Here is a 23,167-nt window from a genome sequence, read left to right on the forward strand (position 1 = left end):
AAATTTGTTGTTCCCCAGTGATTAGTGAGGTTGAATTACTTTTCATATGTTTATTGACCATTTAGATATTCCTTTTCTGTGAAGTTCTAGTTCAAGTCATTTACTCATTTTTCTATTGGATGATTTACCTAGTTCTAATTTAGTTGTAGGAGTTTTTAATATATTCTGGACAAAAGTCCTTTATGAGATATGTATTGCAAATATCTTTTTCCTGATCTATGGCCTGGCTTTTTTTACTTTTATAAAGTTATGTGTTTTATAAACATAAATTCCTAATTTTAATGTAGTACAATATATCAAGTGCTTCCTTTTTGATTAGAGTTTTGTATCCCATTTAAGAAATCTATGCCTACCCCCAAATCTTTGCCCATGTTTTCTTTTAAGATATTTAGAATTTTACTTTCACACCTAGAACTATGATCCACCCATAACTGCTATCGTGTAAGGTAAAGGACCAAGATTCATTTTTTTCCATATGGACATACAATTAATCTGGTATAATTTATTAAAAAGACCATCCTTTCTCCCATTGCTCTGTAGTGTCACTTTGTCATAAGCCAATTAGCTATGCATATTTGATGTTTGTTCTTGAGTCACAGTTGTTAGCCCTTGGTCTGTTTGGCTATCTTACGCCAATACCACAATGTCTTCTTTACTACAGCTTCATAATGAGCCTTAATATCTGGCAATGTGGGTCCTTCTCCTATTCCTCCTCCACCGCCTCTTTAGATTACATTGACAACTTTGCTCCTTTGCACTTAAATGAATTTTAAAATCAGCTTGTCAATTTTCACCAAAATTCTTTTGAAATTTTTATTAGAATGCATTTGATTGATGTATGAATTTGGGAGGAATTGATATCTATACAACATTGTGCCTTCTAATCCATAAACATGGTATTTTCCTACATTTATTTATATCTTTTATTTATCTCTAGCTTTCAGTGAAGAGCTCTTATACATCTCTCATTGAACTTACCTCTAGGCACCTGGCATTTTAAGTTTTACATTTATACAAAAATCTTTTTATATAATTTTTGGACAGTAGATAATTGTTTTTGATTGTTGATATTTTATTTGATAATCAGCTAATTCTAATTAATTTTTTATATGTCTTTGGCTTTTTAAAATTCCTAATTATGTCACCTGTGAGAAATAACAGTTTGCCTTCCTTCCCCCTCCTACCATTTATCTATCTATCTATCTATCTATCTATCTATCTATCTATCTATCTATATATCTGCCTGCCTTCCTATCTATCTATTTACTTAGCTAACATTCTATTCCCATGAATGGGACCGCAATTCAACGTACAATGGAAGTGAATATAGCAATTGTTCACGTCTTCTTATTGATCTCAAGAGAAAAACTTTTAATGGCTCACTATTATGTAGTATATCTATGGCCATACCACCCTGAACATGCTCGATCTTGTCTGATTGAGAAAGTTTCTTTTCATTCCTAATTTTCTAAGAGGTTTCCATTTTTATCATAAATTGTTGTTGAATTTTATCAAGTATGTTTTCTGCATCTAGCGAAGTTATCAAAAACATTTTTTCTGTTAATGTAGAGGATGCTGTAATGTTATTTGTTGCTGCATAATAAATTACCCCAAAACTTGCTTAGTGGCTTAAAATGGTAACATTTACTTTGTTCATAAATCTGCAGTCTGGGCAGAACTTTGTGGAGGTTGACTTTGCTCTACTCAGCATCAGTAGAGGTGTCTCATAGACTGGGAGCTGGAATCATCTAAAGATTTGCTTACTCACATGTCTGGTATCTGAGCTGGGAAGACTTAACAAGCTGAGGGCTAGAACAACTGGGACTCCTCAGGCATCTCTGCCTTTATGTGATATCTGCCCTTTGGTTTACTAGTCTGGCCACTTCAGAATAGCTCCAACTATCAACTACTATTTTAGGAAATATATCATATCCTGGCTGGGTATAGTATCCCACGCCTGTAATCCCAGCACTTTGGGAGGCCAAGGTGGGTGGATCTCTTGAGGCCAGGAGTTCAAGACGAGTCTGACCAACGTGGTGAAACCCCATCTCTACTACAAATACAAAAATTAGCTAGGGATGGTGGTGCATGCCTGTAATCCTAGCTACTTGGGAGGCTGAGGCACGAGACTTGCTTGAACTTGGGAGGTGGAAGTTGCAGTGAGCTGAGATTGTGCCACTGCACTCCAGCCTGGGTGACAGAGCAAGACTCTGTCTCAAAAGAAAAGAAAAGAAAAGAAAAGAAAAGAAAAGAAAAGAAAAGAAAAGAAAAGGAAAGAAAAGAAAAGGAAAGGAAAGAAAAGAAAAGAAAAGAAAAGAAAAGAAAAGAAAATATACCATATGCTATAGGTCTATACTCCAAGTTCATAAGGCATTCTTTCTTAGCTTCTTGGGCATTCAGTATACCATTGCACTCTTTCATAATGTCAGCTGCTTCTGTGATGGAATACCACATAGGACCAGTGAATCTCAGGAACATCATTTCATTGACTTATATTATTTCATCATCAAGTGAATTCCTTGATCAGAAGTAATAATGTATGTCCTCCCATAACAGCAAATAAAGCATTTAGCAAGTCCGCAGATGGTATGGCTGCAAGAAGCCTTGCCATAGGGATGATAAATCCAAATCCATTCAAGAATCTACTGCTGCAGAGGCAAATCACTGTATCTTCCATGATAGGAACCCAAGTGATTGGCTGGCCTCCCTTGGATATGGTACCAAGATGGATGTTGGTAGATATAAATGCCAGCTTTCTTAATCCACAGGTAGGCAATCTCTGAGGCATGTTCTACACTCTCTACCTGAGGTTCCTTAAGGGGTTTAGCTTCAGTAAACCACAAAGGTAACTTGCTCGCCAATGTAAACTGTATTTATTTTCTTCTCTCCCATTTTTACATCCTTATTCCTTTAATGGTGTATTCTAGGATCTCATAAATTTCATAAAGTTCTTCCCAAGGACTGCATCTTGGTGGGCTAAGGCAAGTTCTTTTACATTCACATATTTTGTTCATTCAGTAGGGGTTGATATGGTTTGGCTGTGTCCCCACCCAAATCTCATCTTGAATTGTAGCTCCCATAGTTCCCATGTGTTGTGGGAGGGACCTGGTGGGAGATAATTGAATCATAGGGGTGGTTTCCCCCATACTGTTCTCATGGTAGTAAATAAGTCTCATGAGAGCTGATAGTTTTATAAGGGGAAACCCCTTTTGTTTGGTTTTCATTTCTCTCTTGCCTGCCACCATGTAAGACATGACTTTCACCTTCTGCCATGATTGTGAGGCTCCCCCCAGCCACATGGAACTGGGAGTCCATTAAATCTCTTTTTCTTTATAAATTACCCAATCTCTGGTATTATCAGCACCATGAAAATGGACTGATACAGGTGTTAATATGATTATTTCATGGTGAGTTGAGCTATAGGAGTAAGGTTTTATACCTCATTATTGTCAACCCAATTTCTGCTTTTCTTGTCCTTTATTTAAGACAATAAATTCCTATTTTTTTGCACTTTATTTTTTCCATTACTGCACGAGCTTAAAATATCTCTACTGGAAATATCATAGAGACCATTCTAATTCCAAGCTCTTCTTTAAACATATGTGGAGATGAAGGCCTGGGTCACAGTCTCATGACTAAGCCACATGATTCTTGGTAGGTTATATGAGGATTTGGTCTCCTGATAAAATGGGCAGTTCAGAGTCTTTTCCACCATAGTAAAAGCAGAAAGTCCTTAGGCATACTCTCCTAAGTGATAGGCACAGAGTTCCACATAAAAAAGCTTAGTCTGATTTCATTAAATGCAATTAGTTTGACATAGTGAAAAGAGCTTGGGATTTGAATCAGACTTGGATTCAGAATCTGATTTTGCCACTGATCAGAAAAATTTAGAAAAGTATACTCAGTCTTTCCGAATAAGTTTCCTCTATAAAATATGTCTACTAATATCCATGTTATAGGTTTGCTTTAAGAAATTAAATGCAATAATTTATGTAAAAGTTTGGAACATGTTTAATAAGCAGAAGCTGTTTCTTAAAAACAATATTCTACTTAACTATTTAAATGACCTCTTCTATCTACATAGTCAGATTTTATTTTAGTTCCTGTTTATCAGATGAATCAAACCACATGATGGGTTCATTTGTTTTCCTTTCTTTCTAGGAAGGTTGAAATTCAATTGTGCTGTCAGCAATATTTACAAAGAACTCCACCCATTTATTTCTGGGAAATGTTCCTCTTTATTTTTGAGAGTTAAGCACTTTGGTTGTTATGTGCCTATTATACTCATTACCACTCAGCTTGGTGTTAAAGGTCATTTTTGGATATTTTTTCAGCGTTCATTGTCCTCTGTGGATGAATATTTGTGTATACTCAAGTAACAAATATACATAGCTTCTCCAAGGGGCAAAATATGAAATCCAAGCTGTTATCTTCACCTTTTCACTTCATGGAGACTAAAAGAAATAATTCAGGCATATGACTTAGGTAGTTATTAATGGACCAGTCTTAACCCAGATAGTTATTAATAAACTAAGTCCTAGGTTTAGCAAATACAACTTATTGTTAACGTTTTACAACTTATCTTTTTGCGCTTTTGTCAGAGATATAATACTGGAAGGGAAGGGCCTCTACTTGGATCCAGCACCACTGAAAAGTTCTTAAAGTCATCATGATCCTTTCTATATTTATAATGCTTCATCCTCTACCATTTAATTTTTCACACAGGCTTTATCTGTGCTGTACACACCACTCTGAGAAACTTTCCTTTACTTTCCAATTAGTGTGGATGAATAATTTGATATCATAGATACATCGAGAAAACATAAATATTGAGGGAGTAATTGTTTGAACTATATTTTTGGATTTTTTTTTACAATTATAAACTTGCATGCATTCTCTATTCCACTTAGGCTGTGGAGTGTTTAGGAAGAACATTTAACTATAGATTTTTTGAAATTTTTTCCTGCCTATTGGGAGATCACAGTAGTGACTGAAGATCTGACACCTCTGGGAGATGGTGTAAAACATGTCTCAGCATCTCACCCTGATACCTGAAGAACATGACACACATCTAAACTGTGCCTTGATTACTTGGAAATAAATGATGTATATACGTAGACAACAAGCAATCAAGTGCCCCTGATAACAAGGGAAAGAAAGACAGTGAGAAAGTCTTGTGGTAATGAGTATAAATATCCACCAAATCCCAGAACTCTCATGTCCAGCTCATATTGTTCCCCCAAGATCTGGAGCTTTATTGGATTGCTCCCTATTGGTCTTGTCCTGAACCTGATCTACCCAACTCTGCCCTGCCCTTCAGTGACTCAAAGCTGTGGCCTTCCCAAGACTTAGTTTCTTGGTTCAGGCATCAATTTACTAGAGATTTGGAGCACCAACTTTCATCTGATTTAGGGTGTCTGAGAATGCTGAGCCAAGTGCTGTGTCTGAGATTCTGCACAATGCCTCCCAAGTTGCAGGGAATCTTCCCAGCACTGCCTCCCCAGGGTCCTGTCTCTTCTGTGGTTTCTAGCTGTCCTGTGTGGTGAGTACTGAGGTTATGGGGAAGAAGAGAACAAGAGGGGTAGTTTAAATCAAGATATGGTGAAGAATTCCTGGTTAAAAATTAGTGCAGTATGATCAAATGGTAATAATTTGGTATAATTTTGGAGAAATACAATGAAGTACATTATTAAGAAATATATTTAAATAGTTTTAGTTCTTTTGACATAATCTTTAGTTATTTGGAAAGCAAAATATTATATAAATCTTTGAGAAGCTGATCTAACAAAAACCTTTAGTTTTTATATTAATGTATGTTACATAAAATTATGTTTAAATGGATACTGTCAAATAATTTAAAATTAGCTATTCTAAAGGGTTGATTTTTTTCTATTGCATTAATAATTGAGAAGATTTTTGTCATTTAGAAAGGAAAATTTTATGTTGTTACAAATAATGAGTGCATTTACTAAAGTAAAATTATAAAGCATTGAGTAAACTGAAAACATTATATAGGATGTAAGGTATTTTATTGTAATTTAGGGAATAATTCTACCTTACCAAGAGCACTGAAAGAGTCTGTGAGAACTTGTAGGTCCCACTAGCGTAGTGCTGGCTATACATGCAGATGTAATTGTTTTAATTTATAAATTAAGAATGCTAATAAAAAGTAATTTTTTTCTTCTGATATGATTTCTTTTTTAAAAGAAAACTTTCCTAAAAGTATTAAAAAATATTTTTACACACATCCCTTATGCCATCTATCAGAACACTTAAAGTAGAGCATTTGCATAGAATTTCAAAATCACTCAACAGAGAAGAAAATATTTCACCAATAGCTATGTCCATCTCTATGGTGACCATATTTCATATTCATGTGCTGTCAGGGATTTTCCCAGTTCTGAAGATAGAAAGATTTTATGCTGATCAGAGAGAATGTGGTGTCCCACAATGCCATTCTGTCAACCTGGCAAAAGCATTGAGATAATTTGTCAAGATTAATTTATCTTTTTCTTTTTTAAATTTCAATAGTCTTTTGGGGAACAGGGGTTTGGTTACATGAATAAGTTCTTTAGTGGTGATTTCTGAGATTTTGGTGCACCCATCACCTGAGCAGTGTACACTGTACCCAATGTGTAGTCTTTTATGTCCAGATTAATTTCTAGTGCCCCAGAATGATGCCATGTTGTTCATCCTTTGAACTTTCTTAATATCACAAGGTGACTTCTGAATTTCTTCTAAGGAGAATTTTAAAATGTTTTACTTTGGAAGAGGTCTCTTTTTATTTTTAATCAAAATAATGGATATTTTAAGGGAAACTCTAAGGTTAAATGAATTCCTTTATCCCGGGTTATTCTTCTTTCCTGGAAAATGAAATGGCTAAATTTGTGATTCTTCCAAAGCCATACTCCACTCCAACCCTCTTACTGTTTTCCCTGGGCACCGTTACCGTGACCTTCCAGGTCTCCTCTTGTTTCTGAGGCAGTGAAGGTAGACTATGTCTAACAGGTCACAGAGAGTTGTTCCTCCGGGTTTCTCCATATTTATCCCCTGTTCTTCTAGTTCCTCAAAATCCTACTTTGCCTGCAGTGTCACTTATGCCCAAATCTTTCACAATCTGGTTTCTAAGTTTGCCTCTTTTTCTTCTGTCAATAAAAACTTTCTGCTGCCTTTAAGCCTTTGCCTAAACCATTACTCTAACATGAAAAGCCTACCCACATCTCACCCATTTAAGCAGATTTTAATCTAAACTTCAAAATATATATTTCAAATCTCCTCCAAGAAATGTTGTCTTATCCTTTTCTGTGTTGGTTCTCTCTCGTTCCTTCTTTCTTATTATACCCTTCTTGCTGGCTTCCCTTGTCTTTGGATATTACCATAAGCTGACTGGTATTATGGTTTTGCTATTCATGTGGTTATGACTTATTTTCCTTACAGTATCCAAAGATGTGCCTTGATGTCTGCTGAACAGTCTTATGGGGGTGAATTCACATAAGTGTTTGCTGGACTCATCATAAAAAGACTTTTCCTAATAATGCGTTTGATCTGAGGCTCAGGACATTTCATTTGTGAGCCCTAGACTTATACATAGGTGAACATTTATTTTGAACCTATCATGTCAAAAAGACACAAAGATACTTGAGACATGTTCTCTACTGTCAAAACAGAAAGAAATTATTAATAAGGAGAGTATAACTCAGTTGTTAAATAGCAGATAGACAGTATAGACTGAAGCCATAGAGGATGTGAACTTTTGAGCAAAATAGACCTCAGTTCCAACTCTGTTTCTGTCACTCAGTAGCTGCTTAACATAGAGCAAAGTTCTTCTCCATGGAGATGTTTTCTTCTTTAAAAGGTAGGGAAGATGATAATGAGTATCTGTTAGGGGTATTGTGATCATTGGATGATATAATATATATAAGGTGTTTCAATTATGAATATATTATGTCTGTAGTATCATAGTATATACGCTATATGTAGCATACATATACTATGTAGGACATATACAGTGTCATAGAATACATAGTATTCATACTATACATGTATATATATAAAAGATAAGTAATATACATACTATACATTCATATATATAAAATGTGTGATATATGCAATGTAGTATAGACTATAGTAAGATCTCAGCAAGCAGTTGGATATGATATATAATCTCTTCCTAATAACTGCTATAGGAGCTTAGAGAAATAAATGACGACTGCTTGCTGGAGAAGTAAAGAGAAGTCTTCACACAGAGCATTTGGCACTTGAGCAGCAAGGAGAAAAGAAAGGATGGCATTCTAGGTAGGAGAGATGATATGAGCACAGGTACCCCTGTGAAAATGTGTATGATGTATTTGGGGACCAATGGCTAGGTGGATTAGTCTATAAAGAGGACGAATTAAAAAATAGTGATGATTAAGGTTGAAGGATCCATGAGAAAGGCCAGGAGAGGGTTTTCTAAATACCCATGTGTAGATCAATGTTTTAAATTCTTATTCCCAGTAAATAACAATTTGGAAGGCATTATTACTTGGTTTCAGCCTTAAGAGAAAATTCTTACCTTGGCATGGTACTTTGTCTGACATTCCTGCTGCTCTATTCTGTTCAACTTCCTCATGCAGTGTTTGTGGACCCTGACAGTGTTTCTTTTCAGTGAAGTGCTCTGTGCCATGTCCTATTTATTTCAATGTGCAAGTCCCCATTTTTATTATTTCTATGAGTCATTTTCTAAAATATCTTAAAATGCAGTAAGTATATTCTTGGTGAGGATGAATAAACAGTTTTTTTTTCTAATTTTGTTTTAGTTGCAGGGGTACATGTGCAGGTTTGTTATATAGGTAAATTGCATATGGGGGTTTGGTGGACACATTATTTTATTGCCCAGGTAATAAGCACAGTACCTGATGGGCAGATTTTTTATCTTCTCCCTCCTCCTATCCTTCACCCTCAAGTAGGATCTGGTGTCCATTGTTTCCTTCTTTGTGTCCACATGTACTCAATGTTTAGCTTCCATTTATAAGTGAGAACATGCAGTATTTGGTATTCCATTCCTACATTAGTTCACTTATAGCAATGGCCTCTAGCTCCATTCATGTTGCTGCAAAGGACATGATTTCATTCTTTTTATGCCTGCATAGTATTTCATGGTGTATATGTACCATATTTTCTTTATCCAGTCTACTGTTGATGGTCATTTAGGTTGATTTCATATCTTTGCTATTGTGAATAGTGCCGCAGTGAACATACGCATGCATGTGTCTTTATGGTAGAACAATTTATATTCCTTTGGGTATATACCCCATAATGGGATTGCTGAGTCAAATGGTAGTTTTGTTTTAAGTACTTTTGGAAATCATCAAGCTGTTTTCACAGTGGCTGAACTAATTTACATTCCCACTAGCAATATAAGTGTTCCCTTTTCTCTGCATCCTCACCAGAATCTGTTATTTTTTGACTTTTTAATAATAACCCGAATGGACAGTTTTGATTGGGGAGCAATGACTCAGGGATTGTGGATGATGTAACTTTCTCACAGTTTCTCACAGATGCACATCTCTGCATTTAGCTTGCAAGGGACTAAGGGTAGCATGAGTATAATATGACTTTAGGCTGAATCCAGCCTTCATGCCAAAATGGTTCCTAAACAATGTCAAGTTGAGTGAGCTTGTTAGTAAGATGGTGGAAAATGTAAGGTCTATAACTTGAGCCTTTCTACAGTTCCTCAGCCTGAGGCTGACAGGATGGCCACACAAGTATGAAGGTTTAGCCAAGTGATTTTATGGGCAGAGAGGATGGAAGGACAGAATAAAGCCTCCTACAAATAACATGCATTCTGGGATGTGCTATTTTGTACATTCTATAACCTCGTGCTCTGTCACGTTTGTATCTCACCATCAAATTGCAGTTTTGCCCCTAGTTTTGCCCATGGGCATCCTAAACAAGTTAATTTATGCAACTGTTTCAAAAATGAGGCTGTATATAAATGTGATGAAGGCTACACTGTGATCGGACAGGTGAAACTCACCTGCATTTCTTCCTGCTGGTCATCTCCAGCCCCTCAATGTAAAAGTAACTCCAGCTCCCTTTTCAGTCCATGACTACGTGGGTGGAACTGTCATTAGAGCACTGAGAGCAAAGTTTCTCCTCTGCTAGAGGCAGCACAAAAACATTCTATTTGATTTATTTTAAATAATTAATATATGGAGATGATACCCAATGCAAAAACTACAAAGGACATCCAGCACCTATATTTCATTTAGGAGTCCCTGAGCAAGCACTCCCAGGCAGAAAACTCATGCAGTGTCTCCCAAACCCAGACAATGTGAAAATGGCGCTGGAGGTGTATAAGCTGTCTCCAGAGATTGACCTACTGGAACTAGAGATACAAGGGAAGATGATCCACTCTGGAAAAATAACTATAATTTTTCCCAAAAGAGGGAAAAAAAGATGCCTTGTGGCCTTGTTGCTTTCATTCAATATGGATCACTTCTGTTTTGCATCTCTACCATACCTTTAGCTCCAATTTCATGGTGATTAATATTCACATATCAGAACTACTTTGTCTTTGTAATCATTTAAGAGCCCAGCAAATGAGAGTCCTAAAAAACCCACTTCATAAGTTAATACTTTTATTTTACTGTGTAGACCTTAGAAGTGCATACTTGGCTTTCCACCAATATGTGTCCCTGGACTGCCTTTACTCCACAGTTCCATGTGTGCACACCTCTCAGGTCCTCTATGTTCAGACTAAACATCAACACACCCTCAAAGACTCTTCCAATCTTTCTATTTGAGGGAGGCATGCCCTCCCCTGAACTCTTGTGCATGTTGCCTCTTTCATTCATGCCACATCTCAACTGTTGCCTTCCATGAAGGGGATTTTCATTTGTGTTTGACCTCCTTGTTTCAACTCCAAAGAAGGAACTCTAAAATAGGGATGAATATTGTCGTGGGTTGCAACTGGCTGGGGCCAGCCTTGCAGGTGGTAAACAAACTTACCAAGACAGTCTTAGGTGAAGAAAGGCAGGTTTATTACAAAAAATATTAAAATACGAAGATATGTTGCAAGAGAGCAACGGGTGAAGATGGCTGAATAGAAAGAGCTCCGGTCTGCAGTTCCCAGCGTGATCGACACAGAAGACAGGTGATTTCTGCATTTCCAACTGAGGTACCTGGTTCATCGCATTGGGACTGGTTGGACAGTGGGTGCAGCCCATGGAGGGCGAGCTGAAGCAGGATGGGGCGTCGCCTCACCCGGGAAGCACAAGAGGTCGGGGGATTTCCCTTTCCTAGCTGAAGGAAGCCATGACAGACTACCTGGAAAAACTGGACACTCCCGCCAAAATACTGCACTTTTCCCAAGGTCTTATGCAACTGGCAGACAAGGAGGTTCTCTCCCATGGCTGGCTTGGCAGGTCCCACGCCCATGGAGCCTTGCTCACTGCTAGCGCAGCAGTCTGAGACTGAACTGTGAGGCAGCACCCTGGCTGGGGGAGGGGCGTCTGCCATTGCTGAGGCTTGAATAGGTAAACAAAATGGCCAGGAAGCTCAAACTGGGTGGAGCCCACTGCAGCTCAACAAGGCCCACTGCCTCTAGACTCCACCTCTGTGGGCAGGGCATAGCTGAATAAAAGGCAGCAGACAACTTCTGCAGACTTAAACGTCCCTGTCTGACAGCTCTGAAGAGAGCAGTGGTTCTCCCAGCACGGTGTTTGAGCTCAGAGAATGGACAGACTGCTTCCTCAAGTGGGTCCCTGAACCCTGTGTAGCCTAACTGGGAGACACCTCCCAGTAGGGGCTGATAGACACCTCATATAGGCAGCTGCCCCTCTGGGACAAAGCTTTCAGAAGAAGGATCAGGCAGCAATATTTGCTGTTCTGCAATATTTGCTGTTCTGCAGCCTCTGCTGGTGATACCCAGGCAAACAGGGTCTGGAGTGGACCTCCAGCAAACTCCAACAGACCTGCAGCTGAGGGGCTTGACTGTTAGAAGGAAAACTGACAAACAGAAAGGAATAGCATCAACAAAAAGGTCATCTACACCAAAACCCCACCTGTAGGTCACCAATATCAAAGACCAAAGATAGATACTACCACAAAGATGGGGAGAAACCAGAGCAGAAAAGCTGAAAATTCTAAAAATTAGAGTGCCTCTTCTCCTCCAAAGGATTGCAGCTCCTCACCAGCAATGGCACAAAGCTGGATGGATAATGACTTTGATGAGCTGACAGAAGTAGGCTTCAGAAGGTCGGTAATAACAAACTTCTCCAAGCTAAAGGAGGATGTTTGAACCCATCAGAAGGAAGCTAACAACCCTGAAAAAAGATTAGATGAATGGCTAACTGGAATAAACAGTGTAGAGAAGACCTTAAATGACCTGATGGAGCTGAAAACCATGGCATGAGAAATTCATGATGCATGCACAAGCTTAATAGCTAATTCGATCAAAAGGAAGAAAGGGTATCAGTGATTGAAGATCAAATTAATGAAATAAAGTGAGAAGACAAGGTTAGAGACAAAAGAGTAAAAAGAAATAAACAAGCCTTCAAGAAATATGGGGCTATGTGAAAAGGCCAAATCTATGTTTGATTGGCGTACCTGCCTGAAAGTGATGGGGAGAATGGAACCAAGTTAGAAAACACTCTTCAGTATATTATCCACGAGAACTTCCCCAACCTAGCAAGACAGGCTAACATTCAAATTCAAGAAATACAGAGAACACCACAAACATACTCCTTAAGAAGAGCAACCCCAAGACACATAATTGTTGGATTCACCAAGGTTGAAATGAAGGAAAAAGTGTTAAGGGCAGCCATAAGCCCATCAGACTAACAGTGGATCTCTCGGCAGAAACCCTACAAGCCAGAAAAGAGGGGGGACCAATATTCAACATTCTTAAAGAAAAGAATTTTCAACCCAGAATTTCATATCCAGCCAAACTAAGCTTCATAAGTGAAGGAGAAATAAAATCCTTTACAGACAAGCAAATGCTGAAAGATTTTGTCACCACTAGGCCTGCCTTACAAGAGCTCCTGAAGGAAGCACTAAACATGGAAAGAAACAACCAGTACCAGCCACTGCAAAAACATGCCAAATGGTAGAGACCATCAATGCTATGAAGAAACTGTATCAATTAACAGGCAAAATAACCAGTGACCATCATAATGACACAATCAAATTCATACATAGCAATATTAACCTTAAATGTAAATGGGCTAAATGCCCCAATTAAAAGACACAGACTGGAAAACTGGATAAGGAGTCAAGACCCATCAGTGTGCTGTATTCAGGAGACCCATCTCATATGCAAAGATGCACATAGGCTCAAAATAAAGGGATGGAGAAAGATCTACCAAGAAAATGGAAAGCAAAAAAAAAAAAAAAAAAAAAAAAAGGCAGCGGTTGCAATCCTAGTCTCTGATAAAACAGACTTTAAACCAACAAAGATCAAAAGAGACAAAGAAGGCCATTACATAATGGTAAATGGATCAATTCAACAATAAGAGCTAACTATCCTAAATATACATGCCCCCAATACAGGAGCACCCAGATTCATAAAGCAAGTCCTTAGAAACCTACAAAGAGACATAGATTCCCACACAATAATAAAGGGAGACTTTAACACCCCACTGTCAATATTAGATCAATGAGACAGAAGGTTAACAAGGATTTGAACTCAGCTCCACAACAAGTAGACCTAATAGACATCTACAGAACTCTCCACCCCAAAGCAACAGAATATACCTTCTTCTCAGCACCACATCACACTTATTCTAAAATTCACCACATAATTGGAAGTAAAGCACTCCTCAGCAAATGTAAAAGAACAGAAATCACTACAAACTGTCTCTCAGACCACAGTGCGGTCAAACTAGATCTCAGGATTAAGAAACTCACTCAAAACTGCACAACTACATGGAAACTGAACAACCTGCTCCTGAATGACTACTGGGTACATAAAGAAATGAAGGCAGAAATAAAGATGTTCTTCGAAACCAATGAGAACAAAGACACAACATATCAGAATCTCTGGGACACATTTAAAGCAGTGTGTAGAGGGAAATTTATAGCACTAAAAGCCCACAAGAGAAAGCAGGAAAGATCTAAAAGTGACACTCTAACATCACAGTTAAAAGAACTACAGAAACAAGAGCAAATAAATTCAAAAGCTAACAGAAGGCAAGACATAATTAAGAGCAGAGCAAACTCAAAGACATAGAGACACAAGAACCCTTCAAAAAAATCAATGAATCCAGGAGCTGGTTTTTTGAAAAGATCAACAAAATTGATACACCACTAGTAAGACTAATAAAGAAGAAAGGAGAGAAGAATCAAATAGACGCAATAAAAAATGATAAAGGGGATATCACCACCGATCCCACAGAAATACAAATTACCATCAGAGAATACTATAAACATCTCTATGCAAATAAACTACAAAATCTAGAAGAAATGGATAAATTTCTGGACACATACACTCTCCCAAGACTAAACCAGGAAGAAGCTGAATATCTGAATAGACAAATAACAGGCTCTGAAATTGAGCCTGGACCAGGACCAGATGGATTCACAGCTGAATTCTACCAGAGGTACAAAGAGAAGTTGGTACCATTCCTTCAGAAACTATTCCAATCAATAGAAAAAGAGGGAATCCTCCCTAACTCATTTTATAAGACCAGCATCATCCTGATACCAAAGCCTGGCAGAGACACAACAAAAAAAGAGAATTTTAGACCAATATCCCTGATGAACATGGATGCAAAAATCCTCAATAAAATACTGGCAAACCAAATCCAGCAGCACATCAAAAAGCTTATCCACCACAATCAAGTTGGCTTCATCCCTGGGATGCAAGGCTGGTTCAACACATTCAAATCAATAAACATAATCCATCACATAAATAGAACTAATGACAAAAACCACATGATTATCTCAATAGATGCAGAAAAGACCTTCAACAAAATTCAACAGGCTTTCATGCTAAAAACTCTCAATAAACTAGGTATTGATGGAAGGTATCTCAAAATAATAAAAGCTCTCTATGACAAACCCACAGCCAATATCATACTGAATGGGCAAAAACTGGAAGCATTCCCTTTGAAAACCGGCACAAGAAAAGGATGCCCTCTCTCACCACTCCTATTCAACATAGTGTTGGAAGTTCTGGCCAGGGCAATCAGGCAAGAGAAAGAAATAAAGGGTATTCAATTAGGAAATGAGGAAGTCAAATTGTCCCTGTTTGCAGATGACACAATTGTATATTTAGAAAACCCCATTGTCTCAGCCCCAAATCTCCTTAAGCTGATAAGCAAATTCAGCAATGTCTCAGGATACAAAATCAATGTGTAAAAATCACAAGCATTTCTATACACCATTAACAGACAGAGAGCCAAATCATGAGTGAACTCCCATTCACAATTGCTACAAAGAGAATAAAATACCTAGGAATCCAACTTACAAGGGATGTAAAGGACCTCTTCAAGGAGAACTACAAACCACTGCTCAACTAAATAAAAGAGGACACAAACAAATGGAAGAATATTCCATGCTCATGGATAGGAAGAATCAATATTGTGAAAATGACCATACTGCCCAAAGTAATTTATAGATTCAATGCCATCCCCATCAAGCTACCAATGATTTTCTTCACAGAATTGGAAAAAAAAAAACTACTTTAAATTTCATATAGAACCAAAAAAGAGCCCGCATTGCCCAGACAATCCTAAGCCAAAAGAACAAAGCTGGAGGCATCACGCTACCTGACTTCAAACTATACTACAAGGCTACAGTAACCAAAACAGCATGGTACTGGTATCAAAAGAGATATATAGACCAATGGAACAGAACAGAGCCCTCAGAAATAACACCACACATCTACAACCATATGACCTTTGACAAACCTGACAAAAACAAGAAATGGGGAAAGGATTCCCTATTTAATAAATGGTTCTGGGAAAACTAAACTGGCTAGCCATATGTAGAAAGCTGAAACTGGATCCCTTCCTTACACCTGATACAAAAATTAATTCAAGATGGATTAAAGACTTAAATGGTAGAGCTAAAACCATAAAAACCCTAGAAGAAAACCAAGGCAATACCATTCAGGACATAGGCATAGACAAGGACTTCACGACTAAAACACCAAAAGCAATGGCAACAAAAGCCAAAATAGACAAAAGGGATCTAATTAAACTAAAGAGCTTCTGCACAGCAAAAGAAACTACCATCAGAGTGAACAGACAACCTACAGAATGGAAGAAAATTTTTGCAATCTACGCTTCTGACAAAGGGCTAATATCCAAAATCTACAAAGAACTAAAACAAATTTACAAGAAAAAAGCAAACAACCCCATCAAAAAGTGGGCAAAGGATATGAACAGATACTTCTCAAAAGAAGACATCTATGCAGCCAACAGACAGATGAAAAAATGCTCATCATCACTGGTCATCAGAGAAATGCAAATCAAAACCACAATGAGATACCATCTCACGCCAGCTAGAAAGGCAATCATTAAAAAGTCAGGAAACAACAGATGCTGGAGAGAATGTGGAGAACTAGGAATGTTTTTACACTGTTGGTGGGAGTGTGAATTAGTTCAACCATTGTGGAAGACAGTGTGGCAATTCCTCAAGGATCTAGAACTAGAATTACCATTTGACTCAGTAATCCCATTACTGGGTATATACCCAGAGGATTATAAATCATGCTACTATAAAGACACATGCACATGTATGTTTATTGCGGCACTATTCACAATAGCAAAGACTTGGAACCAATCCAAATGTCCATCAGTGATAGACTGGATTAAGAAACTGTGGCATACATACACCATGGAATACTATGCAGCCGTAAAAAAGGATGAGTTCATGTCCTTTGCAGGGACATGGATGAAGCTGGAAAGCATCGTTTTGAGCAAACTATCACAAGGACAGAAAACCAAACACTGCATGTTCTCACTCATAGGTGGGAATTGAACAATGAGATCACTTGGATACAGGGTGGGGAACATCACACACTGGGGCCTGTTGGGGGGTGGGGGCCTGGGGGAGGGATAGCATTAGGAGAAATAGCTAATGTAATCGATAAGTTGATGGGTGCAGTGAACCAACATGGTACATGTATACCTATGTATCAAACCTGCACATTGTGCACATGTACCCTAGAACTTATAGTATAATAATAATAATAATAATAATAATAATAATAATAATAAAAACAAAAAAACTAAATATGCAACGACAGGTGAATGGATAAGCAAATTGTTTTGTATCCATACTAGAGAATGGCTGATTTTAATGTATGTGATGCCAATGAGTTTGCAGGATTCCTAAACATTTGAAAATTGGCTTTCTGTGAGCTGGTATATGCTGACTGTAGCACACCACTGGATATAAATAATGTATATATGAAAAAAAAAAAAGAGCAATGGGCAGTGCAGCTGAGAGAAGGCTGTCTGCCAAGAGGCAGGGGCTGGAGAGAAGTTCTACAGGGTCATGCTGGAGGGGCTATGTGTGGAATGAGGTATTTGGGAATAGGATGTTGTGCCAGATAGTGGTTTGTGGCTAGAATTTCTCAGAAGAATTGCTCTTCCCCACCCCAGGGCCCCCTCCTCATTGTTGCTAACCTATCTTCTCAGGACTCCACAAAGATGAAGCCCACATGTCAGTCCTAAGCATATTCCCAAGGCTTCCATCTGATTTAGTCACTGTTCCTTAATATTAAAATGGCTTGAGCAACTGTCATACACGTGAGGAGAAACCCTGTATCAATCCTTATGTCTCTCAGTACTCTGGCGTCTATTCCTTCGAGTCATCACTTTTTCTGACTGTTGCTTCCTGTGAAGTCTCTTTCTCATTCTTATCTCAGCTTCTCTGGCTGTCTCTTCTCTCTCTGTACATAGAACTCCATGGGGGAATACCAGCCTCTTTGACTTGATTTCTGCAAACACACTCCATGGAGGCAATGGTGTATGACAGGCTATCATTGAACCTCAGCTATAACAGAGGGGCTTGAACTGTTAGAGAAGCCCACTTAACATTGAAGCTGTCTGTTTATGGTCTTGAAAGCCATTGCCTGCTCCATCTGCTAGGAATTTTTTTTGTTGTTGATATTTATTTCGGGTTCCCCTGAGACAAGGATTTGTGAGCAACTGGTTTCCTTGGAAGGGGGTCTCAGAAAGTACTGATGGGCAGTAAGATGGGAAAGGAAGGAAAGCAAAAGAGGAAACATTGTTGAGGAGGTTCTCGTACTGCTAAGAGGGGCTCAAGCATGCTGAGAACCCGCTGAGAGCTGGTGGCACACTCAACTCTGAGTTGTTCTCCTCAGGATGAAGACCTGGGTATATATCTACCTATTCTCTTCCCTCACTGGTGAAGTCTTGCTCTAGCAGCAATGGCTCCCAGACATGAGGGATCCACACTATTGGTTCGTTGAGCAGGCTCAGAGGATGGGGATCATGGTTAGGCAGACAGACATGGGTAGCCAGTGGCTCCTAATGGGCTGTCTATAGCAACCTCCAGAGTAGGCCAAGGGCACAAAGGTAGGGAAAAGATGGTCTCTTCTACAGTTGCCTTTTCTGTGTGGTCCTATCTGTTGACAAGTTGTTCTAGTCTTCCACTCTCTCCCTACTCATATCTCTCACTTCCCTTTGCCAGATCCCTGAAACATTGTGTTTTTCATTGCCTCTAATACAATTGTAAAATTAAATTGATATAATAGCTTTCACGATTTGAGGTCTGCTTCTGGGAGGTATTAATATCTTAGCATTTCTGGCCTTCTCTGTAAGAAGGCAGAGTAGCTGTCAATGGTTCTGGTAAGAGCCTGGTCTAAATGAAGCAGATTTGGGGAAGTTGGAAGTTGTCCAGAGTGTGCTGAAGTGGCAGGGCCCTAATGATATTAACAGGACATTGACAGGGTCTGCTACACACTATAATATACAATGGATGCCCCCAAGTCTGTAGGCTCACCTCCTTGCCCTGTCTTTGCTTCTTGGACTCAAGTTCTCCTCTTTCTTGACTTATTCATTCATTGTACTGGAACACACCCTCCAGGAGCCACCTAAGAAATGATGCACAGGAAGTAAAATTTTGAGCTCCAACATATTTGAAACTGTCTTTATTCTCACACTTGGTTGATAATTTGGCTGAGTGTAGAAAATTGGGTTAAAAAAATTTTCTTTTAGAACTTTTAAACAGTATCTTTTTTTGTATTACAGTTTCCAATATTATAGTAGAAAAGCCAGAACCATTTTAATTCTTGATCATATAGGATGTTTTTATCCTTGTTTTTCTGTAGGGAAACTCATATTTTATTCTGAGAAATGTTGTTGGTATAGTTTTTTTTGTCTTCTTTATATTTTTCTCTTATTTTTAGAGAAATCTTACTGGTCAGATATTGATCCTTTTTGTCAATCTAGTAATTTTCTTAAATTTTCTCTCTTTTTCCCATACATCATCTCTGTCTCATCCCTTCCCCACATTCTTTGGGGATCATTTCTTGATTTTGTATTTTAACCATTTTCAAAAATATTCCCTTCATTTAAAAAAGTATTCTGTTTTTTATGGATACAGTGCCTACCTATATTTCTCAGAGGATATTAATAATAGTTTCTATGGAAGTTCTATTCTGCTCTCTGCAAACTTCTGTTGATGATGGTTCTAGGTTATATATTCATTTTAAAGAGTGAGACCCATATCACTGATTATTTAAGTTCTATGTACATGGTGAGATTGGGCAGTGAACTACTTTTTTCTTATTGGCAGTTGTAGCAGAAACTGCTGATTGCTTCCCAGTATCCATTTCCCCTACTTGTTTAGGTAATACAACTACCCTCACCCCTTTGAATATCAGCAGGGTATCCGCTGCTCTGTTAGATGCTCCCTCGGAGTAACCTCCCAATGTGCACAACTTCCTAGTTACTTTCTTAGGAAAGAAGTCACTTGCTTTCTTTTCTTTTCTTTTTTCTTTTTTTTTTTTGAGACGAGTCTCGCTGTGTCGCCCAGGCTGGAGTGCAGTGGCGCGATCTTGACTCACTGAAACCTCTGCCTCCCGGATTCAAGCAGTTCTCTGCCTCAGCCTCCCGAGTGGCTGGGATTACAGGCGCCCACCACCACGCCCGGCTAATTTTTTTGTATTTTTAGTAGAGATGGGGTTTCACCATCTTGGCCAGGCTGGTCTTGAACTCCTGACCTTGTGATCCACCCGCCTCGGCCTCCCAAAGTGCTGGGATTACAGGCGTGAGCCACTGCGCCCGGCCCCACTTGCTTTCCGCTTCCTCTTTCCCCCCGCGGTGAGCTGAAGTGCTGGCAAGAGTGATGGTGAGTCAGCCTCTGCCATTCTGAGGACAGTTCCTGCGGATGCTAGAGTAATGAAAGGGAAAGCATTTGGCCCTTGGATGACCTTGTCAACTTGGGTCAGAGCTCGTGACTGTTCTGAATGCACTTCCATCTCTGGACTGTCATATGAAAAAGAGATAAACTTCTGCCTTGTTAGCCGTTGTGTTTGAAGTGTGTTTGTTATAGCAGCTTAGCCTATGCCCTAACAAATTCAGAGGGATACCCAAATATCAGTTTTTACTGGTATCTCTTCTGTTCTGCCCAGTTTCTCTGGAGAATGATTCTCCAGTCTCCTGCCTGCTTATTTATTAACTTGAATTTCTATCGTGCAACAAAGAAGATTACTGCTTCTATTTTCCTGTGGAACTCCACTTCTCCCTCCACCTAGCACCCTGTTTCTGCTACAACGTTACTTTTGTATTGTCAACTTTAAAGCATTTACATTCTTTCTTGAAACAATTGTTCCTATTTCTAGAAGGCAGAGTCATCGCATTCATCAACTGCTTTTAGGTGACTTGTTTTTCCTTCTATTATGACTAGTTTATCTTTGTATTTGCCTCAGAGGTGTGTATACAGGATGTGCTTAATAATTATATCATGGGCAAACAGTACATGAAATTATGTGAAATACTAACTTGGTACTAATACAGTCCAGCAGAAGGTCAATTACAAAATTTCTGCTGCCAAATATTCTTCTCTGACTATAGGGAAACAAACTGTAAGTATGTGATTCAATCTCTCTCCAGGCTTAAAAAAAGAGCCTAGGAAAAAGGAAGCTGCTTAACTAGAAACTTTCAGATGAAAAATTATATGTGAATGGTGACTATGGGTTGAGCTGCCATTTTGTAATGTGGGAAATTAAGGTTCAGAAAAAGAATAAAGGTTTCCAATCCAGAAATAGCCCTGTGAATAGCTATCAGTCCTGTGTTCACAAGACTTTTACCAAATTATCAATTTTCTAGACACTGATAATTTTAAGTTTAAAGATATGATAAATTCTTCCTCATTGTAAATATTAATATATAACCAATAATGGATATTTATACTGAAAAAAATTTTTCCAAATTTTATTTTTCCATTTTTTATGTCTACCTCAGTACCCAGTAGAAGCTTAATAATTTCAAAAAGTTTAAATATATTAGTTTGTAACAATATTTATAACTTAAATGTGCTAAAATAAAAATGGAAAATCAAAGTCATGTAAGAGAGATAAATTTCCCTAAATTTAAATTTATACAGTAATTGTAATTGAGTTTATTTTGAGTCAAATTAAAATGGGAACTATAATGTATCACATATTTACATTGTTTGACAAAAATAAACATATCAGTTCTGCTTACAGGAGAAACATTTTTTCTTGTTTTGAAAATAGAAAGCAATTTTCTTGCATGAGTTATTTTACAAGGGACAGTGAATAACATAATATATAATGCCTTTAACTTCAGTTGATAAGTTCTTCAAAAAGCTAAATATATCAATCCCCTATAAAACTGAGATGATGAGACATGTTGGGGGGTGGAGCCAAGATGGCCGAATAGGAACAGCTCCAGTCTACAGCTCCCAGCGTGAGTGACGCAGAAGATGGATGATTTCTGCATTTCCAACAGAGGTACCGGGTTCATCTCACTGGGGAGTGTCGGAAAGTGGGTGCAGGACAGTGGGTACAGCGCACCGAGCATGAGCCGAAGCAGGGCGAGGCATTGCCTCACCCGGGAAGCGCAAGGGGTCAGGGAATTCCCTTTCCTAGTCAAAGAAAGGAGTGACAGACGGCACCTGGAAAATCAGGTCACTCCCACCCTAATACTGAGCTTTTCCAATGGTCTTAGCAAATGGCACACCAGGAGATTATATCCTGTGCCTGGCTCAGAGGGTCCTATGCCCACGGAGCCTCGCTCATAGCTAGCACAGCAGTCTGAGATCAAACTGCAAGGTGGCAGCGAGGCTGGGGGAGGGGCACCCACCATTGCCGAGGCTTGAGTAGGTAAACAAAGCAGCCAGGAAGCTTGAACTGGGTGGAGCCCACCACAGCTCAAGGAGGCCTGCCTGCCTCTGTAGACTTCACCTCTGGGGGCAGGGTATTGCCAAACAAAAGGCAGCAGAATCCTCTGCAGACTTAAATGTCCCTGTCTGACAGCTTTGAAGAGAGCAGTGGTTCTCCCAGCACACACTGGAGATTTGAGAACGGACAGACTGCCTCCTCAAGTAGGTCCCTGACCCCTGAGTAGCCTAAGTGGGAGGCACCCCCGAGAAGGGGCAGACTGACACCTCACATGGCTGGGTACTCCTCTGAGACAAAACTTCCAGAGGAATCATCAGGCAGCAACATTTGCTGTTCACCAATATCTGCTGTTCTGCAGCCTCTGCTGCTGATACCCAGGTAAACAGGGTCTGGAGTGGACCTCCAGCAAACTCCAACAGACCTGCAGCTGAGGGTCCTGACTGTTAGAAGGAAAACTAACAAACAGAAAGGACATCCACACCAAAACCCCATCTGTTTGTCACCATCATCAAAGACCAAAGGTAGATAAAACCACAAAGATGGGGAAAAAACAGAGCAGAAAAACTGGAAACTCTAAAAATCAGAGTGCCTCTCCTCCTCCAAAGGAACGCAGCTCCTCACCAGCAATGGAACAAAGCTGGACAGAGAATGACTTTGACGAGTTGAGAGAAGAAGGCTTCAGATGATCAAACTACTCTGAACTAAAGGAGGAAGATCGAACCCATGACAAAGAAGTTAAAAACCTTGAAAAAAAATTAGACGAATGGCTGACTAGAATAATCAATGCAGAGAAATCCTTAAAGGACCTGATGGAGCTGAAAACCAAGGCACAAGAACTAC

The 23,167-nt window shown here is 38.9% G+C and overlaps 1 long non-coding RNA gene and 1 pseudogene across 5 annotated transcripts in view, besides 1 other annotated feature; one reads left to right on the top strand and one right to left on the bottom strand.

Moving 5' to 3' along the window:
• Positions 1-23,167, bottom strand: part of LOC107985251 (uncharacterized) — a 195,120-nt gene that overhangs the window by 57,886 nt on the left and 114,067 nt on the right. The window contains exon 2 of one of the 5 annotated variants that reach the window (XR_007066840.1): positions 18,961-19,051. The exons of 2 other annotated variants lie outside the window; for them this stretch is intronic. This is a non-coding gene — a long non-coding RNA (uncharacterized LOC107985251). Of the gene's footprint in view, positions 1-18,960; positions 23,098-23,167 lie in introns of those variants that run through there. 2 more of the 5 variants (XR_007066843.1, XR_007066839.1) reach the window with 2 other exon arrangements.
• C4BPAP3 (C4BPA pseudogene 3) lies at positions 9,894-10,412 on the top strand (annotated as a pseudogene).
• Positions 10,862-11,362: an enhancer, noted in NCBI's record as "H3K4me1 hESC enhancer chr1:207369102-207369602 (GRCh37/hg19 assembly coordinates)". NCBI's record gives its function as "activates a minimal SCP1, AML or CMV promoter by ChIP-STARR-seq in primed H9 embryonic stem cells {active_cell/tissue: H9 hESC(primed)}" and the evidence as "EXISTENCE:reporter gene assay evidence [ECO:0000049][PMID:30033119]".

The sequence above is a fragment of the Homo sapiens genome, chromosome 1 (genome assembly GCF_000001405.40).
Source record: "Homo sapiens chromosome 1, GRCh38.p14 Primary Assembly".
NCBI classification, from domain to species: domain Eukaryota; kingdom Metazoa; phylum Chordata; class Mammalia; order Primates; family Hominidae; genus Homo; species Homo sapiens.